Genomic DNA, 23,596 nt, shown 5'->3' on the forward strand with positions numbered 1-23,596 from the left:
CTCCTAAAAACCAAGCACTTCTTTGCCAAGAGGCCCCCTCCATTTCCAAAGTCATTGTTAGTTGTGTGTGTCTGTGTGTGTGTGTGTGAGAGAGAGAGAGAGGGTTTTACTCTGTCGCCCAAGCTGAGTGCAATGGCGTGATCTTGGCTCACTGAAACCTCTGCATCACAGGCTCAAATGGTCCTCCTGCCTCAGCCTCCCAAGTAGATGGGATTACAGGCATGCACCATCTCATTCTACTAATTTTTGTAGTTTTTGTAAAGACGGGGTGTCACCATGTTGCCCAGGCTGGTCTTGAACTCCCGGACTCAAGCAATCTGCCTGCCTCGGCCTCCCAAAGTGCTTGGATTATAGGCATGAGCAACCCCAAAGTCATCGTTAATTCTTCATCACACCTCAAATCTCTCTGACTTCTCTCTCTCTCTCTCTCTCTGACCCCTGAACCCACATTTAAAGGGCTCATGTGATTAGGTCAGGCCTGCCCAGATATTTCCCTATCTGAAGGTCAATGGATTTTGGAACTAATTGCATCTGCAGGATCTTTTCAACAGCAACACCTCAATTAGTGTTTCATTGAATAACTGGAACACAGTGCGCATATACAAGGGGCTGAGAATCTTGTGAGCTGTCTTAGAATTCTGCTTCCCACAAACAGCAAATAGACTGAAATGTTGAACAGCTAGTGGCTAGATAAGAAACATTTGAACAGTAAAGGTGATTGATTGTTGTTTTCAACCCAAATTTCTCCAAACTGATTGTATTTTTGTGAGCTGTGACATTATCAAAAGAGTAACCAGATAATACAGGACTCCAAAGTAATAAAGTAAATTGGGAAGGAGAACACTAAGCCTGGAAGATATTTCTCTCTCCGCTAACATTCAGGGAGCTCAGGGTGGTCTATAAAGTCTTCAGATCTTACAGGCTGTTTGTAGAAATGCTACAGGTATTTTTGTAAAACATATTTTGGAGAAGAGCTGCACAAGCTGAAATTCCAGATTTTGAGGCAGGAAATCCTAAAAGGAATAGTTAGAGCCTATAGGAATATGCATGATTCAGATGTGGAACTTTACAGTCCAAACTTCTAGCACTTCAGACAGAGGTTGAGAATGTTAAACAATTATGTCACTTTGGTAACAGTAACAAGACTGATTTATTGAGGGAGATCATCAGGGGCATAGGCCAATGGCTGAGATACAAAATACAATGAGATGCCTACTATTCGGTACAAAACATGAAATGGATTAAAACAATGTCAGCTGGGCACGAGTGGCTCACGCCTGTAATCCCAGCACTTTGGGAGGCCGAGGCGGGTGGATCACCTGAAGTCAGGAGTTCGAGACCAGCCTGACCAACATGGTGAAACTCCATCTCTACTGAAAATACAAAAATTAGCTGGGTGTGGTGATGGGAGCCTGTAATCCCAGCTACTGGGGAGCCTGAGACAGGAGAATTGCTTGAACCCAGGAGGTGGAGGTTGCAGTGAGCCGAGATCATGCCACTGCACTCCAGCCTCAGTGACAGAGGGAGACTCTGTCTCAAAAAACAAAAACAAACAAAAACCAAAAAAACACACACACACACACAAAAACAAAAAATAATGTCTACAGAAAGGCAATCCTAATCATGCAGTAAGTGGGAATTCCAAATCATTGGCTCCTCACAGGTCTAAGGGATTTGGTGTAAGTGCCCTAGATTTGCTGGTATTTGAATAAGGTGAACCACAAAAGATTTGGTTTTTTGGCCACTTAGGTGATCTCATTCTTCTAGTAGCATGACTGACAATAGCAGTGTGGGTCTAAGTTATATATATGCAGTTTTCCAGCTTGGAATAAGTAAATTTGAATTTAATTCTCAATGTTTAGGGTGTTTGGTTGATACATCAAGGTCCTTGTGTATTTTATTAACCTTTGGAAAATTGGGACTCAGGGGATATTGGTTAACATGATTACGTTAATTCATGTTTGGAGGTGCCAATGGAACTGCATTCTCCTCAATCAGGCTGCAGCTGCGGAAAAGAGGAGTCCAGCTTGCAATGAGGCATCTGAATAGAAGATCTCTGGCTAGGACTAAGGAAAATAGAACATGAGTGAGAGGAGAATCTCAAGCTGTACTTTTCTTGGCTGTTGTTCAATTTAGAAAGGAAGTGGCAGTCAGATGGGATTCACTGGTAAGCCATGGCTGCTGCTGCTCTCCTGCTTATATGCTGGGTAATAGAACACCTCAGTGCCCACTCAGCCTTCCCTGGGGCAGAGCGATTACTGACTTGTTCTTTCCTTCAGCCAAGCAGCCTAAAAACCAGCCAATTCAGGGCTGCCATGCCTCTGACCTGGCAGTTTTCTCAGCCCCTGCATCAGGTACCCAGGTCATTTGGCCTGTCTTTCTAAACTCTAGTTTCTGTACTGTTTGGTTTGGGGTTTTACAATTTTTGTTGTTGTTTTAATCAAAGTTCCTCTGAGCCCTAAACTGAGCCTGAATCATCATTTTGGCCTAGCTCTTATCCAAAAAGAGCTGTGGCAGGGTGTGGCAGAGTGCATGGTAAAAAGAGGCTATTGGTCAAACACCAAGTGTCTAAAAGATCAGGTGGAGGCAGTAATGAGAAGAGCTAGAGGAAGGGAGGTAGTGATGGATGGTATGTGGTATGAGCTTCAAAGAGATCCAGAGTATACGTGAGGAAGAACAATGTGGCTTTTAAAACTACATATATTTTATAGGCCAAATGTATAAAATCAGACAGCACTTCTCAGAATGACATTATGTGAAATGACCATCACAGTGGTGGTACCAGTCCTGAGCTTACACTAGACGTTTCATTTTTTTTAGTGCATCTAGCGCCAATAAGAGCGTGTACTTGTAAAAACTAGAATGCTACTGTATGTATTTTAACAAGAAATAGAGCTGTCCATGTAGAGTAGGACAGAAAGCTCGGAAAAGTATAAAAGGTAATTCATATGATTTTCAGAGAGTTATTTAGTAACTATGAAAAGAAACAAAAGGATATATTTACATACTAACTCTCCCTATGGCTAGGGTACACGGTGCTGGGAGAGGCAATGTATCCATCCGTAACACAAACACATCAGCCTGACAAATAGCCTGAATCACAGACTAGAGTTTATCAGGATGCCCTCTTTCCTAAACTGGGAAACAAATTATTATAGACACAGACACAAATTTTATTTTTTTTCTCTTCCCCATCTCCTCATCCATCACCACTGTATCTTCCCCCTGAATTCTAGGCATACCACCTTCTTTTACTGACGCATCCTTTATTATAGATAGATTAACATCATTGATTAAGCTCCAGCAACCTGTTTTACCAATTGATCTTGTTCATAAATTATAGATACACTTATGGGTATTAGATAAGTTGTTTCCCACATCTCCTCAGCTACACATTTTCTATCTATCCCCATGTTCTGGGAGCATCTTACTGTTTTCTTCCAAGTTCTGGCACTGGTTATGTTTTGTTTAGTTGAAGAGTGAATTATATGGTGTATAGTGCAAGCTGAATTTCCGACAACTATTTCTTTTAATGTATTCATAACATATCAAGCAAGTTTATCTTGGAAGATAATGTGACCTCTGGGGGCTCAATCATCACTTAACCCCAGAGATACAGGTGCTCAGAGAGAACAGACATCTAAGTAGCTTTTATAAGGGCTAAAAACAAGGGAGGAACATTTGCTCATGAAATTAAAATTCCAGTAAAGGAGGAAAATAAAACAAAATAAACCAAGCTTTTATTCTTATTCACACAGAGTCTCTTTTTCTCTCTCTCCTTATTTCATTGGAGTCTATTTATTGACAAAACTTTGTGACTGACAAAGGCTGGCAAGTATATAAAGTGTTGGAACAAATGCCTCAGGATTTTGATAATCCATTGAATGGTATCGATCATTCTTCAGCCTTTCATATATCTTTTTCCTAGGAATATATAAGCTGACATATTTTTAACTGTTTGTTTTCCAGTTTACCCAGTGCAATGTTTCTGAGTTAGAATTTTTCTTCCACTTTCAGAAGGGAATAAAGATATTTTATATGCTAAAAAAAAAACCTCTCCAGTATTCCCACTGTGGTATATTCTGCATTCTAAATATATTTATATATCTTGCATCATTATTTTGTTCTAATTATTAAATAGAATAAACAATTACAAAATTCTATTTTGGTTTTATATTCTAATTTTTCATAATTTTATTCAGACAAGTATTTAAAGTTGATTTTTCTCATATATGTATTTCTGGATCTACCAAATACTGATTTTCTCATGCAAAAGAAAAAATTAAAAGAAAAACTACTAGGGCTGGGTGCAATGGCTCACGCCTGTAATCCCAGCACTTTCCGAGGCCGAGGCAGGCGGATCACCTGAGGTCAGGAGTTCAAGACTAGCCTGGCCAACATGACAAAACCCCGTCTCTACTAAGAATACAAATACAATTATCTGGATATGGTGATGTGTACCTGTAATCCCAGCTACTCGGGAGGCTGAGGCATGAGAATCGCTTGAACAAGGGAGGCAGAGGTTACATTGAGCCAAGATCACACACTGCACTCCAGCCTGGGCAACAGAGCGAGACTCGGTCTCAAAAAAAAATTACTATTAAATGATATTAATATCTCAAACTCATGAAGAGCATATTAAATATTTCCCTTTTGTCTTCACTTTAGCTGCTGAGGGCAGTGACAGAGACTGATAAGTATTTCCCATAGGATGCTTCTTTAGCATGTACTAGTCATGGAGTTATGAAACAAAAGTAACTATGCATTTGTAAGTAAATTCCAGAGAAATTCAAATTGGTTTAAAGGATGTGGCTTCTAACCCAGGCTAAGATGTTTGCACTTCCCAGTAACCTGAGTAATAATATTAGTAACTGTCTGAGTTCATTTGTGCTACTGTAACAAAATCCCTTAGACTAGGTAATTTATAAGGAACAGATATTTCTTTCTTATAGTTCTGGAGGCTGGGAAGTCCAAGATTAAGGTGCCAGCAGCGGTGTCTGGTGCTGATTGCTCTCTGCTCTCAAGATAGCCCCTTCTCACTGTGTCTTCACATAGTACAAGGCAGAAGGGCAAAAGAGTGCTCCCTTTAACCTTTTATAAGGTTAGCCCTTTTGTCACTAATCCCAGTAATAAGAGTGCAGTTTTTATGACTTAATTACCTCCCAAAGGCTACCCTCTTAATAGGAACAGTATTGGGGATTTCGTTTCAACATAAGTTTTGAAGGGGACACCATCATTCAAACCATAGCTGTAATTAAATATGGAATTAACTCTTCTTTATTAAGCCAGGGGAATTTTAACTAAGCAGATAGAATAAATCAAAATATCAAAATGAACATGATTGAAGGGAGTTGTTGGTGCCTACTAATCCTTTAGCACAATTTCTGCTGTCATTTCATGGAAACAGTAGAGAGCATTTCTTTTAGTTTTAGACATGTCCTAGGAGTCTTGGAAATCAACTGATAAGCTTTTTTTCTATGCACTACTGATGACTACATTTTAAAAGAAGCTGAAGAACTATGGATACCTGAGGAACCATGTATCCAATTTCCCTGCTTTCCTCCAGGAATGTTCACTGCCCAGTCAAGGGAGAGACAGCAAGAAATCAGAGGCCTGCTTGGAAAGTGGATCTCTAGGGCCCTAAATTACTACATGTTTGTGCCTTGGACTGATGTCTTTCCAAGGTATGGGGAAATGCAGAACCTCCTGAAGACAGGTTTCCAGTGGAATCAGGGATTCCCCTATGGAATTAGCAGTCTGACGTCGACCTGGCAAAATTTTCCTAAGATTACCAAAAGGGAAATAGAAACACAGCTACACTGCCTCCCCTGCGATATCCAAGTGAATGACCTCTGGACCAGAGTGCAGTAACAGTGCATGTTCTTGTGATGAGTCTCAGCTAGTAATGAGATTACTTATAGAATCAGAAGGATCTTGGGAAACCTCTAGCTTAACTTCCTCATTTTACAGAAGAGGAAACTTAGTCCAGGTTATGTCTATTTCTACAGTGTGTGCACCATATATAATTCACACACTATCTTTTCAAGAACATTCATTTATGTAGTGACTTTCACGGAAATAGTTGAAAATTTTATTTTAAAAAAAGCCATACTTTTCTACTGGGTTTGTGTAATTGAATACCACATTATTGAACTGTTTGAACATTTACAAGGTAATTTTTTATATTAGTAAAGTTAAGGCTGTTGTTAATTCATTGTTTACCTAAAGCTCAGAATGTGTCCTTGAGAATAAAAGATTTATTTCTTAAAGAGATATTGACTTTCTATTAAAAATATGTGCATTATTAGATGGAAAGTTTATTCAAAATAAAAAATACAATGTCTAAACAGTGTGGTTGGAAATTATTCTCTCATGCGGATCCAGAAGGAGGCCTGATCTCATCAACAATAAAATAAGAACTGTAATCTGAATCTATCATAAAATGACTATTGAAAATAATAGTATCTCGCTCATATATAGAGGTAAACATGCTGTCAGTAACTACCCTGAGGCTCTGTTGAAAGCCTCTTTAAGAAAGTCATTCATAACAAAGATAAGTTGTTTTCCCAATTTAATTAGAAAAACATTTAAATATCCATTAACCATCATTGAATAATAAGTGTTGCAAAAATATACACAAATAACATTTTAGCAATTCCGTTTTAAATCTTTGACTGACAAAACAATGGAAGATGTATCTTTTCTACAGAATTCCCTGTACCTTGAACCACCCCCCCATCCCCACCCCCCCACACACACACACAAATCAATCCCTGCAAAGGGGGAAAAAATGTGAATGTCACTCTTCTTTGGAATTCTTTTCATATTAGGAAGCAAAATTTTATAAGTGGGTGTTAGGGTTTATGTATGCAAGCAGACTGACATCTTTATATTTTCTTCCATATTAAAAGAACTAGGGAATTCAGGACTTCCCTATATATAGTAGCACACACTATACATTTATTTACAGGATTTACTGATAATGGTACAGGTATTATTTCATCTTTCTGAAGTTTTCTCATCACAAGATGACGAAAGAATTTTAGCATTCTGATCTGGATCTCTCACTACCCCTTCAAAAATGTCTATACAAACATCTAAAATTAAAAGGGCAGTCAAGAAAGCAGAAATATCTTACTCATGCAGTGAACTTTGGTGTCAGTGCTAAAAGTTGCATTGCATTACTTAGGGAAAAAAATCATAGATGCAATTTCAGAAAAATAAGTAAAAATTACTGTGATTTGTTGCAAGCCTATTTCAGAAAATTAAAGTCTAGACTTGTCTTTTTGAACTTGAGAATCAGAACCAGGTTGAATTTTTAGTACTATTGTCATGCTGATGTTTCTAATAGTCTAATAACCCAATGCATCAGTGAAAACTTGTAAAAAATGGACAGGAGATTACATCCAAAAGGAAGTGGATAGATGCTTTTTGAAACCTTGTTGAAGCTATATGAATTATTCTGCCATGCCATGCCTGACAGCTCTGCTTCTAGGAACAGCCAGTGTGGCCAAGCATAAAGCTATGCATCAGAAAAGGGCTAATTATTTAATTAAAAGGAGAAGCTTTACATGACTGCACCATTAACTTGATGATAGTAGAGTTAAACACAAGGCCAGATGGTTTTGTGTTTGTTGGTTGTATTTGATTTTCATGTGTTTGTTCATTGTCATGCTTAGCATTATTGGACTGCTACAGTCAAGAAGATAAAATCCTTTAATACTCTATTTAGAACTACAGGAGACAAAGCTTGATCAATAATTTTTATGAATCTGTAAACTATTACAGCACGGCATGTTCCCGCAGACTTTCCCCTGGTGACATGGCTATATTATTTTGGGACTAGAGGCCAAGCAATATTGAAATCCTGCTTGAATTCATCTTTTACAGACCATAAAAGTGACAAGATCCCCAAAGATTTACATTTTTTTATGCTATAGATTAATCAATCTTGCAGGTGGAAAGAGAAGGATTTCAATGTGTGTGCTATAGAGTATCTTTTCAGCCTGACGAGAGTGTAAGAAATTAATTTCCCTTTTCCAACAGAAGAGGATAGTGAGAGCAACTTGTCTAAATCAAAGAAAATGCAGTTAAAGTTTCTTTTTGCCACATGCTTTTTGATTGATTTTGACAATGATGTCAACAGTGAAATAAAGTAAAACCTCTGGAATGCATAAGTTTATGGAAAATGATTTTTTGGCAACAATAAAATAGCAGGTGATTTTTTGTTGCTGTTGTTAAATTCACCCTCAAATACTGATTGATAAATGTCTGTTCAGAATTGTTACTAATTGCAGTATTTATTTCTGGTGTTGTTCAAAATGCAAGGGTTCCATGCAGATGAGTTTTATCCCCCAAACTCTTAAATAATTTGTTAGAACAGACATGCCCAAATTGACTTCATTCATTTAAAAAAAAAAGTTGTCAAATTTTTCCATATTCATCCTCTAAAAATATAATTTTTTTCTAAGGACTTTATCAATTATTTAAGCACAGTAGCAAATAAATTATTTTATTCTCTGCTTTGGACAGTCCTTTAGCATAAAAATACCACTGACAATTTCAGAATGTCATTGGGTATTTTACAGACTATGAATTTATTCTGGAAGTGTTAACTCATTTGTTCCATCAATTTAAACAAGTTAAGATTTTCTCACAAAGAGGAAAGATAATGGAATATTTATTTAAAATGTTAGATAGTTTTAATTTACTAAAGAACTTAGAAGTACAATTTAGCAATATCTATCAAAATTAAAAGTACATATAGCTTTTAACAGAAATTCTACTTGTGGAAATTTATTTGATAGGTATACTCACACATATAGATATAGTTTCACATATGTGAATAGATTTGTCTTCAAATTATTTATAGAAGAATCTTTGTAATAACAAATGACAAAAACTATCTAAATGTTCTTCCTTAGTACACTTCTCATAGTATGTTTCAACTATATTTTGGATTACTATGCAATAGATATACTGATGTACTGACATAGACTATCAAGACATTGTTGGGTAGAAAAAACATGATACAGAATAATGTACATTGTATGTTACCATTTGTATGTAAATAAAGGAGGGAGAGAGAATATATATTTATATTTAATATGATCACTGGGCTGGGCGTGGTGGCTCAAGCCTGTAATCCCAGCACTTTGGGAGGTCAAGGTGGGTGGATCACGAGGTCAGGAGTTTGAGACCAGCCTGACCAACATGGTGAAACCCTGTTTCTACTAAAAATACAAAAAATTAGCTGGGTGTGGTGGTGCGTACCTGTAATCCCAGCTACTCAGGAGGCTGAAGCAGGAGAATCGCTTGAACCCAGGAGTTGGAGGTTGCAGTGAGCCGAGATCGTATCACTGCACTCCAGCCTGGGTGACAGAGCGAGACTCCATCTCAAAAGTAAATTAAATAAATAAATAAATAAGATCTCTGGAAAAATATATTTGAAACAATACACTTAATAATAGTGGTAAGAGGTGAGGTGGAAAATAAGCATCAGGAAATCCATTATCTTATTTCCTGAAGAAAGGAATGGGGGGAGGCTTTTCTCTTGTCCCCACTTATAATTTTTTATGTTTATGTTTGGACCTTGTGAATATTTTCAGTAGGCACAAATTAAATAATTTTTAAAATAAAAGAAAAAAGGTGACTAACATATACGCATCACCTGTAAGGGGACCAGGATTTGTTGGATGAATTAGGTCCTTGATAATTCTGGCATATTTTGTGGAAGATGCTGTCCCTGCCTGCTCCAATCTCCCCTGCCTTTATGGCTTTAGTGTGAGCCTCCACTTTCAACCATCAGCATCTGCTTCAGTCTTTGCTTTACCTTATTATGGAGCAGGCAAGAAGTACTGGGGAATTAATCTTCTACCTCAGAAGCAGCCCATAACCAATCACTGGAGAGGGTGGTGCAGTCCATACCCCAGTTCCCCATCCCTCAGTTTGGGCAGTGAGGTCTGTATTCTACCCTGGAATTAAGCGATATCGCTGAACATGGTGACTTGCTTGATCATGCATCCCTTGTTGGCTGCCTTCCTTTCTCTCTCTCACTTCTTTTTGTTTGTTTGTTTGTTTTGTTTTGTTTTTTTGAGACTGAGTCTTACACTGTTGCCTGGGCTGGAGTGCAAAGGCACGATCTCGGCTCACTGCAACCTCTGCTTCCCGGGTTCAAGCGATTCTCCGGCCTCAGCCTCCCGAGTAGCTGGGATTACAGGCACGTGACACCATGCCCGACTAATCTTTTGTATTTTTAGCAGAGACAGGGATTCACTATGTTGGCCAGGCTGGTATCGAACTCCTAACCTCGTGATCTGCCTGCCTCGGCCTCCCAAAGTGCTGGTATTACAGGCGTGATCACTTCTTCACTCCTTCACTGATGCTTCCTGATATTACTTCCAAAATAAACTACTTATACTCCAGTCCTCATTGCAGGGGTTATTTCTGGAGGAACCCACATTAAGACAGTTGGTCCTAGAATTTTAGTGGTGAAGTGGTAATTTCTGGTGTGCCATAGCATCGTCATATGGAGACTTCCCCTGTGGAATGGGATAGAGATTCAAGGGGACAAACTGGGCTTGTGAAATATCTCTAGCATTTTGAGAGATAAAGGGGCAATGATAATTGTACAGATTGTGGAGTTGATTGTTGCTAAGATTAAATGAAGGACTGAGGGAAGCTTTGGGTCACCAACTGTTATCTCAAGGCATGGTGAAATCCAGAAAGTCTCTGTGGCAGTGTTTAGAGGGATTCTTGTCTGCAGTTGGAAAATAGCTTGTGCCACAAAATCAACCAAGGATCTGATGTTACAAGTAGTAGCATTACACAGAAGGCTAAATTAATGGCCTTCTACAGTCAAACAAGAACTCTGATAAGAAAGGATTGGGACCTTGAGACCTGGGTTGAGGAAATTAAGGGATGCACTTGAGCACTCTGTACCCCAGTGTCATTGAATCCACAGGGCTAGGAGAAGTGGCACACTGCCCCTTGCTGGAAAGCAATAGCATCCTCTCGTGTGAAGAGCTTGCAAAGCCCTCACCTTACACAGATAGCTCTCAAGGTGATATTAATCTCCCTCAAGATCTGCTCCCACCTCTCCTTGTTGTTTCTGAACTAATAACTAGGGCTGCATCACAGCATGGTCTACTATGGGAAAAAATATACTATTTACCCAAAGAGCCACAGGATCTGGTTAAAAGGTACCAGGATGAACCAGGAGAACATGCCTGGGAAGGGATTGTGAAGATGTTGGCTGAAGTGGGGAATGGAATGTAAGACTGGTTAAAAGAGAGTTTATTGCCATGGGGCACTCTCCTGGGACTGAGGATTTAATATTCTGACAAGGATGTCTGTACTGCTGAGATGTCTTCGCACAACTTTGAAAAAACATTGGCAAACCACAAATTAAGTGCCGATGCCAGAACTTCCTTAGCAGAGTATTGAGGATTGGTCAAAAAGCTAAGAGAGCTGATCACGCTAAAGCAAATACAATTTAGAATAGATACTATTTTCACCAATTGCCCATATATATTTGGAGGGCCCAGAGAACACTCCTTTCTCTAAAGCAGTAGAGACTTCACTACTGAGGGGGCATTAGCATCACTGAGAATTTCAATGGTGTCTGCTCTCTGTGTGGAGGATGCCCAGCAAAATACAGGATACAATATTTGGGATATTCTTATGTTAAAAATATTACTCGTTATCTGAAATTCAAATTTAACAGAATGTGTGTGTGTGTGTGTGTGTGTGTGCTAAAATGTTTTTTTTTTTATAAACCAGATGATTTGTATCATAGGCCAGTGTTGATGACAGGAAATGCCACTATAAAATGGGCTCCATAGTGTCACAGAAGATGGAATGATTTCAAAACAATAGAGATGGGTAGTTGCCCCTCATCATCGGAGGAAAAACGAATGAAATTCTGTTAAAGGACAACAGAGCTGGATTAGCAGCCAGGCTCTGAGTAGCAAGGATCTTTAGCAATGGCTAATAGACCATGGTATTCCTCGGAGCAACATAAATGGGCAGCTAATGAGAGTTCCGTTTAACTATGATATCCAGAAAGGATCAAGAGTGGGTTATTTCAGCTCCTGCAACTGAAATTTTTGACTTCTTTCCCAGTTTCTAGATCTAGCCAATTCTTATATCAAGAGCCCATTAATCTAAAGGGAGGCCAGATTCTTTTAGGGAAAACTCTGAATTATCAGAGCAAGCATCAGGAAACATTCCCCCAACTCTTCCTCAAAGGGACCTGCTATGATATCCAGAGTACCTGAACACAAGTAAAAGGAAATACCCAAATCCTTTTAGGACTCCTAGACATAGCACTTGAATGAAACGGATACCAGACAACCCAAAACACCATCATGGCTCCCACAGCAGGGAGGTGAGTATGGAGTCCTACAGAAACCAGGGGGAAGATGGATTCCTGGACTGAGTCTGTCTCACAGTGGGTTTAATACACCCACACAGCACCTGGATCATTTCTCTAGACTGGGAGTGTGTAATTGGATTAGATATGCTTAGCAGGTGGCAGAAACCTCAACTTGAGCATCTGATCTGTGGAGTAAGAGCTATAAAGACAGGAAAGGCCAAGTAGAAACCACTGAAACTGCCACCTCCCTTCTGGCCAGGAAAGGACATCAGAAACAAACCTACCCACTGGGAGAAAAAGTCGAGATTAGAGCCATCCTCAAAACTTATTAGCCATCCTCATAAGGTCCTTGTTGAATTCATCAGCCTCCTGTGGTGCCTCATGGTGAATGACAAAAGACTACTGTGAATTTAACCAAGTGTTAGCCCCAACCTCAACCATAGTGACAGATAGGCTCTTTTTTATAGAAAAAGCATGCTACTTCTGATCTGGTAATTGGGTTTTTTTCAATCCCCACCAAGAAGGAGAACTGGAAGTTTGTATTCACTTAGAATTGACACTAGTACACATTAAAAGTCTCATCCCAGGGCTATGTTGACTCTTCCGCTCTCTTTCACAGTACAGTCCAAAGAAAACTTCATCGTCCGAATGTTAAAGCATCGCACTGCTTCACGCATTGATGACATCATGTTAATTTCACCTGAGAAGCAGAAATGGACAAGTAACACGTGCGTCCTTATAAGAAACATTCACGCCTGAATTTAGAAGGAAAACCCTTCAGATATAAGAGGCGGGCTACAGAGTGAAGTTTTTGAAGAGGTCTAGTTTATTCAGATTCCCAGGGCAAGTGTTACATCTTGCACCTCCTAAGAAGGAGGCACAGTAAATTTAGTAGACCGCTTCCAATTTTGGAGACAGCACATACTGCACTTGGTGCCAAGTTGATTACATAGTGCCCTCGTCATCCTGTAGGGCAGCAATTCATGCTTCTTTGGACTGATACATGTTCTGGATATAAGTTTGTCTTTCCTCTCTACAGTGCATCATCCTGCACTGCTTTCTGAGAGCTCACAGAATCATGGTGCATTACCACGGGATCACACATAATGCTGCTTGGATGAATGAACCCACTTTATGAGGGAGGAGGTGTGACAAAGAGCACATAATCATGGGATCCAGCAATCTTTCCTATACACCACATCAACCACTAACATAGCCAGAGAGAAAATCCGAATGGCCTCCTCAAAGTACTACTTCCCTTTCCCTGCCTCTCTTGCCCACTTCCCTTCCAGTATGTCCTGGATCACCTCCCAGATAAATTATTCACCCTAGACTCCTTCAGTGAGGGCTTGCTTCTGGGGCAACCAAACTAAATCACAGTGTAATAACTGCATGGGTTCTTGTCAGTTTGTTAACATCAATTCTTTCTCTTCTAAGCATGCGTGCCTTGTTCCACTCCATTTACTAGGCTAGAATAGCAAAACATTTGTCTGCAGCCAGCATACATCTACATTTCCCATAGACACCAATTCTTATAATCAGGACACAGAATTTACTAAATTTATGTCAGACTCTGAACTTCACTTTCATTGGGTCTAGCCTAATTTATTTTTAGTGCTTTAAGCCCATGCTTACTTCCACAGGAAAAAGCACACTGTAGTAAATTAGGCAGGTTTTATAGGGGGATATAGATAGTCTTGGGTTTGAGTCTTACTAACTTATTTTATGGTAATGAAGGGTGAGTATCATACACTCAGAGCTGAGTTGAGTATCATAAACTCTGAACCAAGTTTCATTCTCTGTACTCTGAGAATATAATATGTATTTTGCAAGTCTTTTTGGAATGTTACTCAAAACAAGTTCTTTCATGCCCAGCACATACTGTATCCCTAATGAAAGCTAATTTTTCTCTTACTGTTCACCCTAGCTCCGTGTGTAAACACTTTCACCCTAACTCTGTGTGTAAACACCTTCTTCTAATTTTCAAAACATTTATAATTTAGGGAAAACTCTGACTCAACACAGCAGTCACCTGAAAATATTTCCCAAACTCTTCCTCAAAGGGAGCTGCTACCATATTCAGAGTACCTGAACACAGGTAAAAGGAAATACCCAAAACCTTTTAAAACTGTTAGATATAACATCAATTTTTCTATTTTCATACTGCTATAAAGAACTGCCTGAGACTGGGTAATTTATAAAAGAAAGAGGTTTAATTGACTCACGGTTCAGCATGGCTGGGAGGCCTCAGGAAACTTAGAATCATGGTGGAACAGGAAGAGGAAGCAAGGCACTTTCTTCACAAGGCAGCAGGAAGGAAAAGTGCCAAGTGAAGATGGAAGAGCCCCTTATAAAACCATCAGATCTCATGAGATCTCACTCAGTGTCATTAGAACAGCATGGGGGAAGCTGTTTCCATGATTCAATCACCTCCACCTGGTCTCCCCCTTGACACTTGGGGATTATGGGGATTACAATTCAAGATGAGATTTGGGTGGGGACACAAAGCCTAACCATATCATAGCATTTGAATGAAACTGATACCAGAGAACCCAAAACACCATCACAGCCCCCACTGAGGGCAGCTGGTTAGGGAGTCCTACAGAAACCAGATAGGAGGAATAAGTTCTAGTGTTCTGTACCACTGCATTCTGAAGAATGGAAATTATGAAGATTAATGGAGATAAAGTAAGTAGAGTGCTTAATATACAATAAGTGCTCAATAAATGTTTGTCCCTTTCTCATGTAGCATTATTTCTATCTGCTTTAAATTGTCAGACTTTCAAAAAGAACTTTAATCATTACTGGAGAGGAGAAAAGCATATTCTTTAATCAGACTTACTTCTAGCTATTTATTTTCTAGAGCAGCAATTTTTACACATAATAGTTTGACCTTTATTACAGATTTATCTTATCACCTGGGTTGGTGCGATAAATACAGTTTCTATCTGTTCACCCCAAAAGCATCAGCTAGGGAGGTTATTGCCCCCACAAGACAGGCAATCTCATTTTTGTGCATTTCTGTTAGAAAGATGAGAGTAAAAAAAGGGGCCAGGCACAGTGGTTCACACCTGTAATCCCAGCACTTTGGGAGGTCGAGGCGGGCAGATCACGAGGTCAGGAGTTCAAGACCAGCCTGGCCAATATTGTGAAACCCCATCTCTACTAAAAATACAAAACTTAGCCGGGCATGGTGGCGTGTGCCTGTAGTCCCAGCTACTCGGGAGGCTAAGGCAGAAATCGCTTAAACCCGGGAGGTGGAGGTAGCAGTGAGCCGAGATTGTGCCACTGCACTCCAGCCTGGGTGACAGAGCAAGACTCTACCTCAAAAAAAAAAAAAAAAAAAAAAAAAAAGTGAGTAGGTGTGAAGACCAGAGTAAAGGCATAGCCAATCAGGACAAGTTTCCTCAGACAGCAATTTTTTTCTGGCACTCTGCCCTTCAGGAGACTGGCCTGGGCTCCAGAATTTCTAAATGGGATGGACCAGTGGCTTACCAAGGTCAGAACAATGGGTACAGTCTACATACCTTCTGGGAATAAGAAGGTTCAATGGCTATAGAGAATTTAAAAATAGTAATAAAACTGACCAAAAGTTAACCTGCTTTGTTTTATCCTACATAGTAGCATTTCTAAACAATGTTAGTGTTAAAAAAAACCTAGAAGACATTAAGTTCAGATAAAAACGCTAGGGACAGAAAGTTAGACAACACATGTTCTCATTCATAGGTGGAAACAAAAAATAAAAAGTTCTTATAGAAGTAAAAAGTAGAACAGAGGACACTAAATGCTGGGAAGGGTGGAGGACAAGGGGAATAGGAAGAGATTTGTTAAAAGACATAAAATTACAGCTGGATAAGAGGGATAAGTTCTAGTGTTTGATACCACTGTAGGATGACTACAGTTAACAATAGTATATTATGTAGTTTCAAATAGCTAGGGGATATTGAATGTTCTAAACACAAATACATGAAAAATATTTGAGATGATGGATATGCTAATTGCCATGATCTGATCACAGTACATTATATGTATCAAAACATCCCTATGCACCTCGTAAATATGTATGATTATCGGCCGGGCGCGGTGGCTCACGCCTGTGATCCCAGCACTTTGGGAGGCCGAGGCGGGCGGATCACGAGGTCAGGAGATCGAGACCATCCCGGCTAAAACGGTGAAACCCCGTCTCTACTAAAAATACAAAAAAAATTAGCCGGGCGTAGTGGCGGGCGCCTGTAGTCCCAGCTACTTGGGAGGCTGAGGCAGGAGAATGGCGTGAACCCGGGAGGCGGAGCTTGCAGTGAGCCGAGATCCCGCCACTGCACTCCAGCCTGGGTGACAGAGCGAGACTCCGTCTCAAAAAAAAAAAAAAAAAAAAAAAAAATATGTATGATTATCATGTGTCAATTAACTTTTTTAAAAAAAGATGTAAGACAACTAAAAAAGCTTCTCTGAAAACAATGTCATTGGTCTACTAAGTCATTACTGTGGGTATTGTTGATGTTTTTGTATTTATTATTTAATATACATTGTATTTGGCATGAAAATGGATTCACTCAACTCTTGTCCCCATCCCCTGGATATGTAGACTCAGCTACATGCATTTAGTTCAGAATCATCTGAGCTTGTGTCAAGAGAAATTTCCATCTCCAGTCCTGGTGGTATGTTATAGATTCCTGCATTTAAATAGTAGATTTGAAATAAACATTTTAGCACACAGAAGATTATAAAGAAGAAACAACCAGAGTTACTAAATTCTGTTGTTCTTTTTTTTTTTTTTTTTTGAGACAGAGTCTTACTCTATTGCCCAGGCTGGAGTGCAGTGGTGCAATCTTGGCTCACTGCAAGCTCCGCCTCCTGGGTTCATGCCATTCTCCTGCCTCAGCCTCCCAAGTATCTGGGACTACAGATGCCCACCACCACGTCTGGCTAATTTTTTGTATTTTTAGTAGAGATGAGGTTTCACTGTGTTAGCCAGGATGGTCTTGATCTCCTGACCTCGTGATCCACCTGCCTCAGCCTCCCAAAGTTCTGGGATTACAGGTGTGAGCCACTGTGCCCGGCCTTAAATTCTGTAGTTCTATGTGACCATTCATGTTTAAAACGTAAAACGGTGACAGAATGAATGAACATTGTAAAGTGTATTAGTTTGGTAAGTATGAATTTTTGTCCATATGAGAAATGTGTTCGTGCTACTTCATGATTATTACTGAAAATAACTTCGTTGTATAGAAAAAAGGGGCATTATAATGTGACCTGCTTTGAGCTATGTAGCTACACAGGCTCCTGAATGAAATTAGGGTCAAAGTCTGGTGAGGAGATGGGGTTAAGGCCTTTGTCTCCAATCCACATTTGCATAAGAGTTTCTATATTTTTATATTTTTAAGTTTTTTAAAAATAGATTTTGGGGGAACTGGTGGTGTTTGATTATATGAGTAAGTTCTTCAGTGGCGATTTCTGAGATTTTTGGTGCACCTATCACCTGAGTAGTGTACACTGTACATATTGTGTAGTCTTTTACCCATCATCTTCCTCCCACCCATTTACTCAAGTCCACAAAGTCCATTGACCTTTTTTTTTTTTTTTTTTTTTTTTTTGAGATGGAGTCTCGCTCTTGTTCCCCAGGCTGGAGTGCAGTGGTGCGATCTCAGCTCACTGCAACCTCCACCTCCCACGTTCAAATGATTCTTCTGCCTCAGCCTCCGGAGTAGCTGGGATTACAGGCACCCGTCAGCACGCCTGGCTGATTTTTGTATTTTTAGTAGAGACAGGGTTTCCTCATGTTGGCCAGGCTGGTCTCGAACTCTTGACCTTAGGTGATCTGCCTGCCTTGGCCTCCCAAAGTGCTGGAATTACAAGCACGAGCCACCATGCCCAGCCCATTGTATCATTCTTATACCTTTGCATTCTCATAGCTTAGCTCCAACTTATGAATGAGAACATACAATGTTTGATTTTCCATTCCTCAGTTGCTTCACTTATAATAATGGTCTCCAATTCCACTCAGATTGCTGGGAATGCCATTATTTCATTTATTTTTATGGCTGAGTAGCATTCCATGGTATATATACACCACATTTTCTTTATCCACTTTTTTATTGATGGGCATTTGGGCTGGTTCCACATTTTTGCAGTTGTGAATTGTGCTGCTGTAAACACGAGTGTGCAAGTATCTTTTTCACATAACGATTCTTTTTTCCTCTGGGTAGATACCCAGGAGTGGGATTGGTGGATCAAAAGGTAGATCTACTTTCAGTTCTTTAAGGAATCTCCACACTGTTTTCCATAGTGGTTATGACAGTTAATACTGAATGTCAACTTGATTGGATCGAAGGATGCAAAGTATTGATCCAGAGTGTGTCTGTGAGGGTGTTGCCAAAGGAGAGAGTTTAACATTTGAGTCAGTGGGCTGGGAAAGGCAGACCCACTCTTAATCGGTGTAGGCACAATCTAATCAGCTGCCAGCGTGGGCAGAATAAAAAGCAGACAGAAGAACATGAAAAGACTAAGACTGGCTTAGCCTTCCAGCCTACATCTTTCCCCTGTGCTGGATGTTTCCTGCCCTTGAATGTCAAACTCCAAGTTCTTCAGCTTTGGGACATATACTTCCTTCCTTGCTCCTCAGCTCGCAGATGGCCTATTGTGGGATCTTGTGATTGTGTGAGTTAATACTCCTTAATCAACTCCCCTTTACATATATATATATATATATATATATATATATATATATATATATATATATATATCTCCTACTAGGTCTGTCCCTCTAGAGCACCCTGACCAATACAGATTTTGGTACCAGGAGTGGTTCTAGATGAACCACTCCATTAAGGATGGAGTTCTTTTGTTGGTTTTGGGGTTTCTGGAGTTGGCTGCTTAATATGACTGGACCACAAAATGCTAAGGACTCTACTTCTAATAGTATGAAGAACACTGATAGTCCTTGGCATGAACTGTTTAGAGAGTTATGCAAAATAAATGCATTTGACACTTCTGATTCACCGCTTGTGAGAGGCCAGGAGTTTAGTGACTCTATACATACTAAATTTGACTATATGTGGAGAATCAAGGAACATAGTGTAGTTGGTTTGTTTCTTCTAAGTTCACTGGATGAAGTGATGAAAGAAAATGATGAACTCAAGGATTCTAACTCCCAGCTTCAGGAGCAGATACTGAGCCTCAAATCTGCTAAGATCACCCTGAGTGAGAGTCATCTCTTGTAGAGAAAAAGATGAAATTGTGCAAAATCAGACACAGGATCTTCTCATGTGAGTGGCTGACCTGCAACCAAAGGTGCATGCACAGCCTCGCCAGGTGTCTACTGTTAAAGTGAGGGCATTGATTGGAAAAGAATGGAACCCTGCAATTTGGAATAGGGACAAGTAGGAGGACCCTATTGAAGCTGGGGACACTGAGCTTGTAAACTCTGATGAAACTTTCTTACCAGAAGAAACAGCTTCCCCATCCCCAGTAGTGGCAACATCCCTTCCCTGACCCACACTGCCATCAGCCATTCCACCTTTGTCTGAGGAGATAAACCCTGCGCTGCCTAAGACAACAGTGATGGCCTCCCTTGAGGCAGCTCCAGACAAGATAATGATTATTCTCCTCAGGAGCCACCCCCAACACCCCTGTTTGCTTCTAGACTTATAACTAGACCAAAGTACCAGCAGACCCCTAGAGGTGAAGTTCAGAATGTGACCTATGAGGAGGTGCACTACACTCAAAAAGAACTGCTTGAGTTTTCTAATTTATATAAGCAGAAATCTGGAGAACAGGCATGGGAATGGATATTAAGGATGTCAGATGATAGTGGAAGGAACATAGAGTTGGATAAGGCTGAATTTATTTATCTGGACCCAGTAAACAACGATTCTGCTTTTAATGTTGCAACTCAGGGAGTTAAAAAATGTTCTAATAGTTTATTTGCTTGCTTAGCTGAAACATGGATCAAAAGGTGGCCCACTGTGAGTGAGCTGGAAATACCTGATCTCCCTTGGTTTAGTGTAGAGGAAGGGATCCAAAGGCTTAGGGAGATTGAAATGCTAGAATAGATTAGTTACCTTAGGCCTACTCATCCCAACTGATAAGGTCCAGAAGACATACCTTTCAACAATACCTTGCAAAATAGATTTGTGAGGGGGGCACCTACATCCTTGAAGAGCTCTGTGATTGATCTTCTCTTTACGCCAGATTTAACAGCGGAAACTGCAGTCACTCAACTACAAAATTTAAATGCAATGAGAACAATTGGATCCAGATTCCATTGTTGAACCAACAATCATTCAGGAGCATGTTATTTAATTTCCATATATTTGCATAGTTTTGAGGGTTTTTTGTTGTTGTTGTTGATTTCCAATTTTATTTCCCTGTGATCTGAGAGAGTACTTGCTGTAATTTTTATTTTCTCAAATTTGTTGAGGCTTGTTTTGTGGCCTGTCATATGGTCTATCTTGGAGAAAGTTCCATGTGCTAATGAATAGAACGTATGTTCTGCAGTTGTTCAGTTGTTGGGTAGAATGTTCTGTAGATATGTGTTAAATCCATTTGTTCTAGGGTATAGTACAAGTCCATTGTTTGTTGACTTTCTGTCTTGATGACCTGTCTAGTGCTGTCAGTGGAGTGTTGAAGTTCCCCAATATTATTGTGTTGCCATATATCTCATTTCTTAGCTCTAGCAGTAATTGCTTTATAAAATTTGAGAGCCCCAGTGTTTGGTGCATATATATTTAGGATTGTGATATTTTCCTGTTTGACTAGTCCTTTTATCATTATATAATGTTCCTCTTTGTCTTTTTTAACTGCTGCTGCTTTAAAGTTTGCTTTGTCTAATATAAGAATAGCTACTCCTGCTTGCTTTTGGTGTCCATTTACATGGAATATCTTTTTTCACCCCTTTACATTAAGTTTATGTGAGTCCTTATGTGTCAGGTGAGTCGTCCCTTGAAGATGGCAGATGCTTGGTTAGTGAGTCCATTCTGCAATTCTGTATCTTTTAAGTGGAACATTTGGGGCATTTATATTCATCGTTAGTATTGAGATGTGAGGTACTATTTTATTCATTGTGTTATTTCTTGCCTGAATACCTTTTTTTTTGGCATTGTGTTATTGTTTTGTTGGTCTTGTGAGATTTATGCTTTAAGGATATTCTATTTTGGTGTATTTTGAGGACTTGTTTCAAGAGTTAGAGCTCCTTTTAGCAGTTCTTGTAGTGCTGGCTTGGTAGCACTTGTTTGTCTGAATAAAGACTGTATTTTTATTTATGAAGCTTAGTTTCACTGGGTACAAAATTTTTGGCTGATAATTGTTTTGTTTAAGGAGGTTAAAAATGGGAAGCAATCCCTTCTATCTTGTAGGGTTTCTACTGATAAATCTGCTGTTAATCGGATAGGGTTTCCTTTATAGGCTACCTGATGCTTTTGCCTCACAGCTGTTAAGATTCTTTCCTTCATCTTGACTTTAGATAACCTGATGTCTATGTGCCTAGGTGACGATCTTTTTGAAATGAAATTCCCCAGGTGTTATTTGAGCTTCTTGTATTTGGATGTCTAGATCTCTAGCAATCATGGGGACATTTTCCTCAATTATTCCCTCAAATATGTGTTCCAAACTTTTAGATTTTTCTTCTTCCTTGGGAACACCAATTATTCTTGTGTTTGATTGTTTAACATAATCCCAAACTTCTTGGAGGTTATGTTCATTTTTTTAAGTTCTTTTTTCTTTGTCTTTATTAGATTGGGTTAATTCAGAAGGCTGGTCTTCAAGCTCTGAAGTTCTGTCTTCTATTTGTTCAATTCTATTGCTGAGGCTTTCCAGTGCATTTTGCATTTCTCCAAGTGTGTTCTTGATTTGCAGAGGTTGTGATTGTTTTTTTATCTATGCTATCTATTTCACTGGAGATTTTTCCATTCCTATCCTGTATCATTTTTTTGATTTCTTTAAGTTGGACTTCACCTTTCTCTGGTGCCTTCTTGATTAGCTTAATAACCAACCTTCTGAATTCTTTTTTTGGCAATTCATATATTTCTTCTTGGTTTGGATTCATTGCTGGGGAGCTAGTGTGGTCTTTTGGAGGTGTCAAAGAACCTTGTTTTGTTATATTACCAGAATTGTTTTTTTTATTCCTTTTTATTTGAGTACACTATGTCAGAGGGAAAATCTGGAACTAAAGGGTTGCTGTTCAGATTCTTTTGTCCCTGGGCTGCTCCCTTGATGTGTTGCTCTCCCCCTTGCCTAGGGATAGGGCTTCCTGAGAGCTGAACTGCAGTGATTGTTATTTCTCTTCTGGATCTAGCCACTCAGCAGAGCTACTGGGTTCTGAGCTGGTACTGGGGAGTGCCTGCAAAGTGTCCTGTGATGTGATCTGTCTTCAGGTCTCTCAGCCACGGATACCAGCACCTGCTCTGATGGAGGTAGCAGGGGAGTCAATTGGACTCTGGGAGGGTACTTGGTTGTATTTTTGTTGAATGCCCTGATTTTGTGTTGGTTGGCCTTCAGCCAGGAGGTGGAGCCTTCAAGAGTGCATCAGCTGCAGTAGTATATGGAGGATACAAGCTTTCCCTAGAGTTGCCTTTGGATAAGTATTCAGGATTCTCAGGTGGTGGGCAGGTCCATAGAGCTCCCAAGAGGTTATGTCCTTTGTCATTGGCTACCAGGGCAGGTAGAGAAAGACCATCAGGTGGGGGCAGGGTTAGGCATGTCTGAGCTCAGACTCTCCTTGGGTGGGGCTTGCCGTGGCTGCTGTGGGGGATGGGATGTTGTTTCCAGTCCAGTTGAATTATGTTCCTGGGAAATTATGGCTACCTCTGCTGTGTCACATAGGTTGCCAAGGAAGTGGGAGAAAGCCAGCAGCCACAAGCCTCACCCAGCTCCCATGGAGCCTGCAGCCTGCAGCTTGAAAGGCCAGCCTCATTCCCACTGTGCCCCCACAACAGCACCGAAGCACCGAGTTTATTTCCAGGCAGGCAGTGAGCAGGGCTGAGAAATTGCCCCAGGCTACAAGCCTCCCAGCTGAGAAAGCAAGCAGACTCACAGTTCCTTGGCTGTCCCATGCAGCCTGCAGCAGCAATCCACCCCCTTTAAAGTGTCTGTGGATTCTTTCAGCTTTTTTGGTATGTTCCTATGGTAGTTCTTGGGGCAAAATTTCACAGTGTGAGTCTCCAAATGCTGCTTTGTCTGTTCAAGTGGGAACTGCAAGTTAGTCCTGCTTCCTATCTGCCATTT

At 40.0% G+C, this 23,596-nt stretch overlaps 1 long non-coding RNA gene across 1 annotated transcript in view, besides 1 other annotated feature; it reads left to right on the plus strand.

The window, feature by feature from the left end:
• Window positions 22,625–23,148: an enhancer, noted in NCBI's record as "H3K27ac-H3K4me1 hESC enhancer chr18:24803365-24803888 (GRCh37/hg19 assembly coordinates)". NCBI's record gives its function as "activates a minimal SCP1, AML or CMV promoter by ChIP-STARR-seq in naive H9 embryonic stem cells {active_cell/tissue: H9 hESC(naive)}" and the evidence as "EXISTENCE:reporter gene assay evidence [ECO:0000049][PMID:30033119]".
• The window catches only part of LINC01908 (long intergenic non-protein coding RNA 1908), a 50,682-nt gene continuing 50,369 nt past the window's right edge, over window positions 23,284–23,596 (plus strand). The window contains exon 1 of the long non-coding RNA XR_002958212.2: window positions 23,284–23,484. This is a non-coding gene — a long non-coding RNA (long intergenic non-protein coding RNA 1908). The remainder of the gene's footprint in view (window positions 23,485–23,596) is intronic.

Source organism: Homo sapiens, chromosome 18 (genome assembly GCF_000001405.40).
Source record: "Homo sapiens chromosome 18, GRCh38.p14 Primary Assembly".
NCBI lineage: Eukaryota > Metazoa > Chordata > Mammalia > Primates > Hominidae > Homo > Homo sapiens.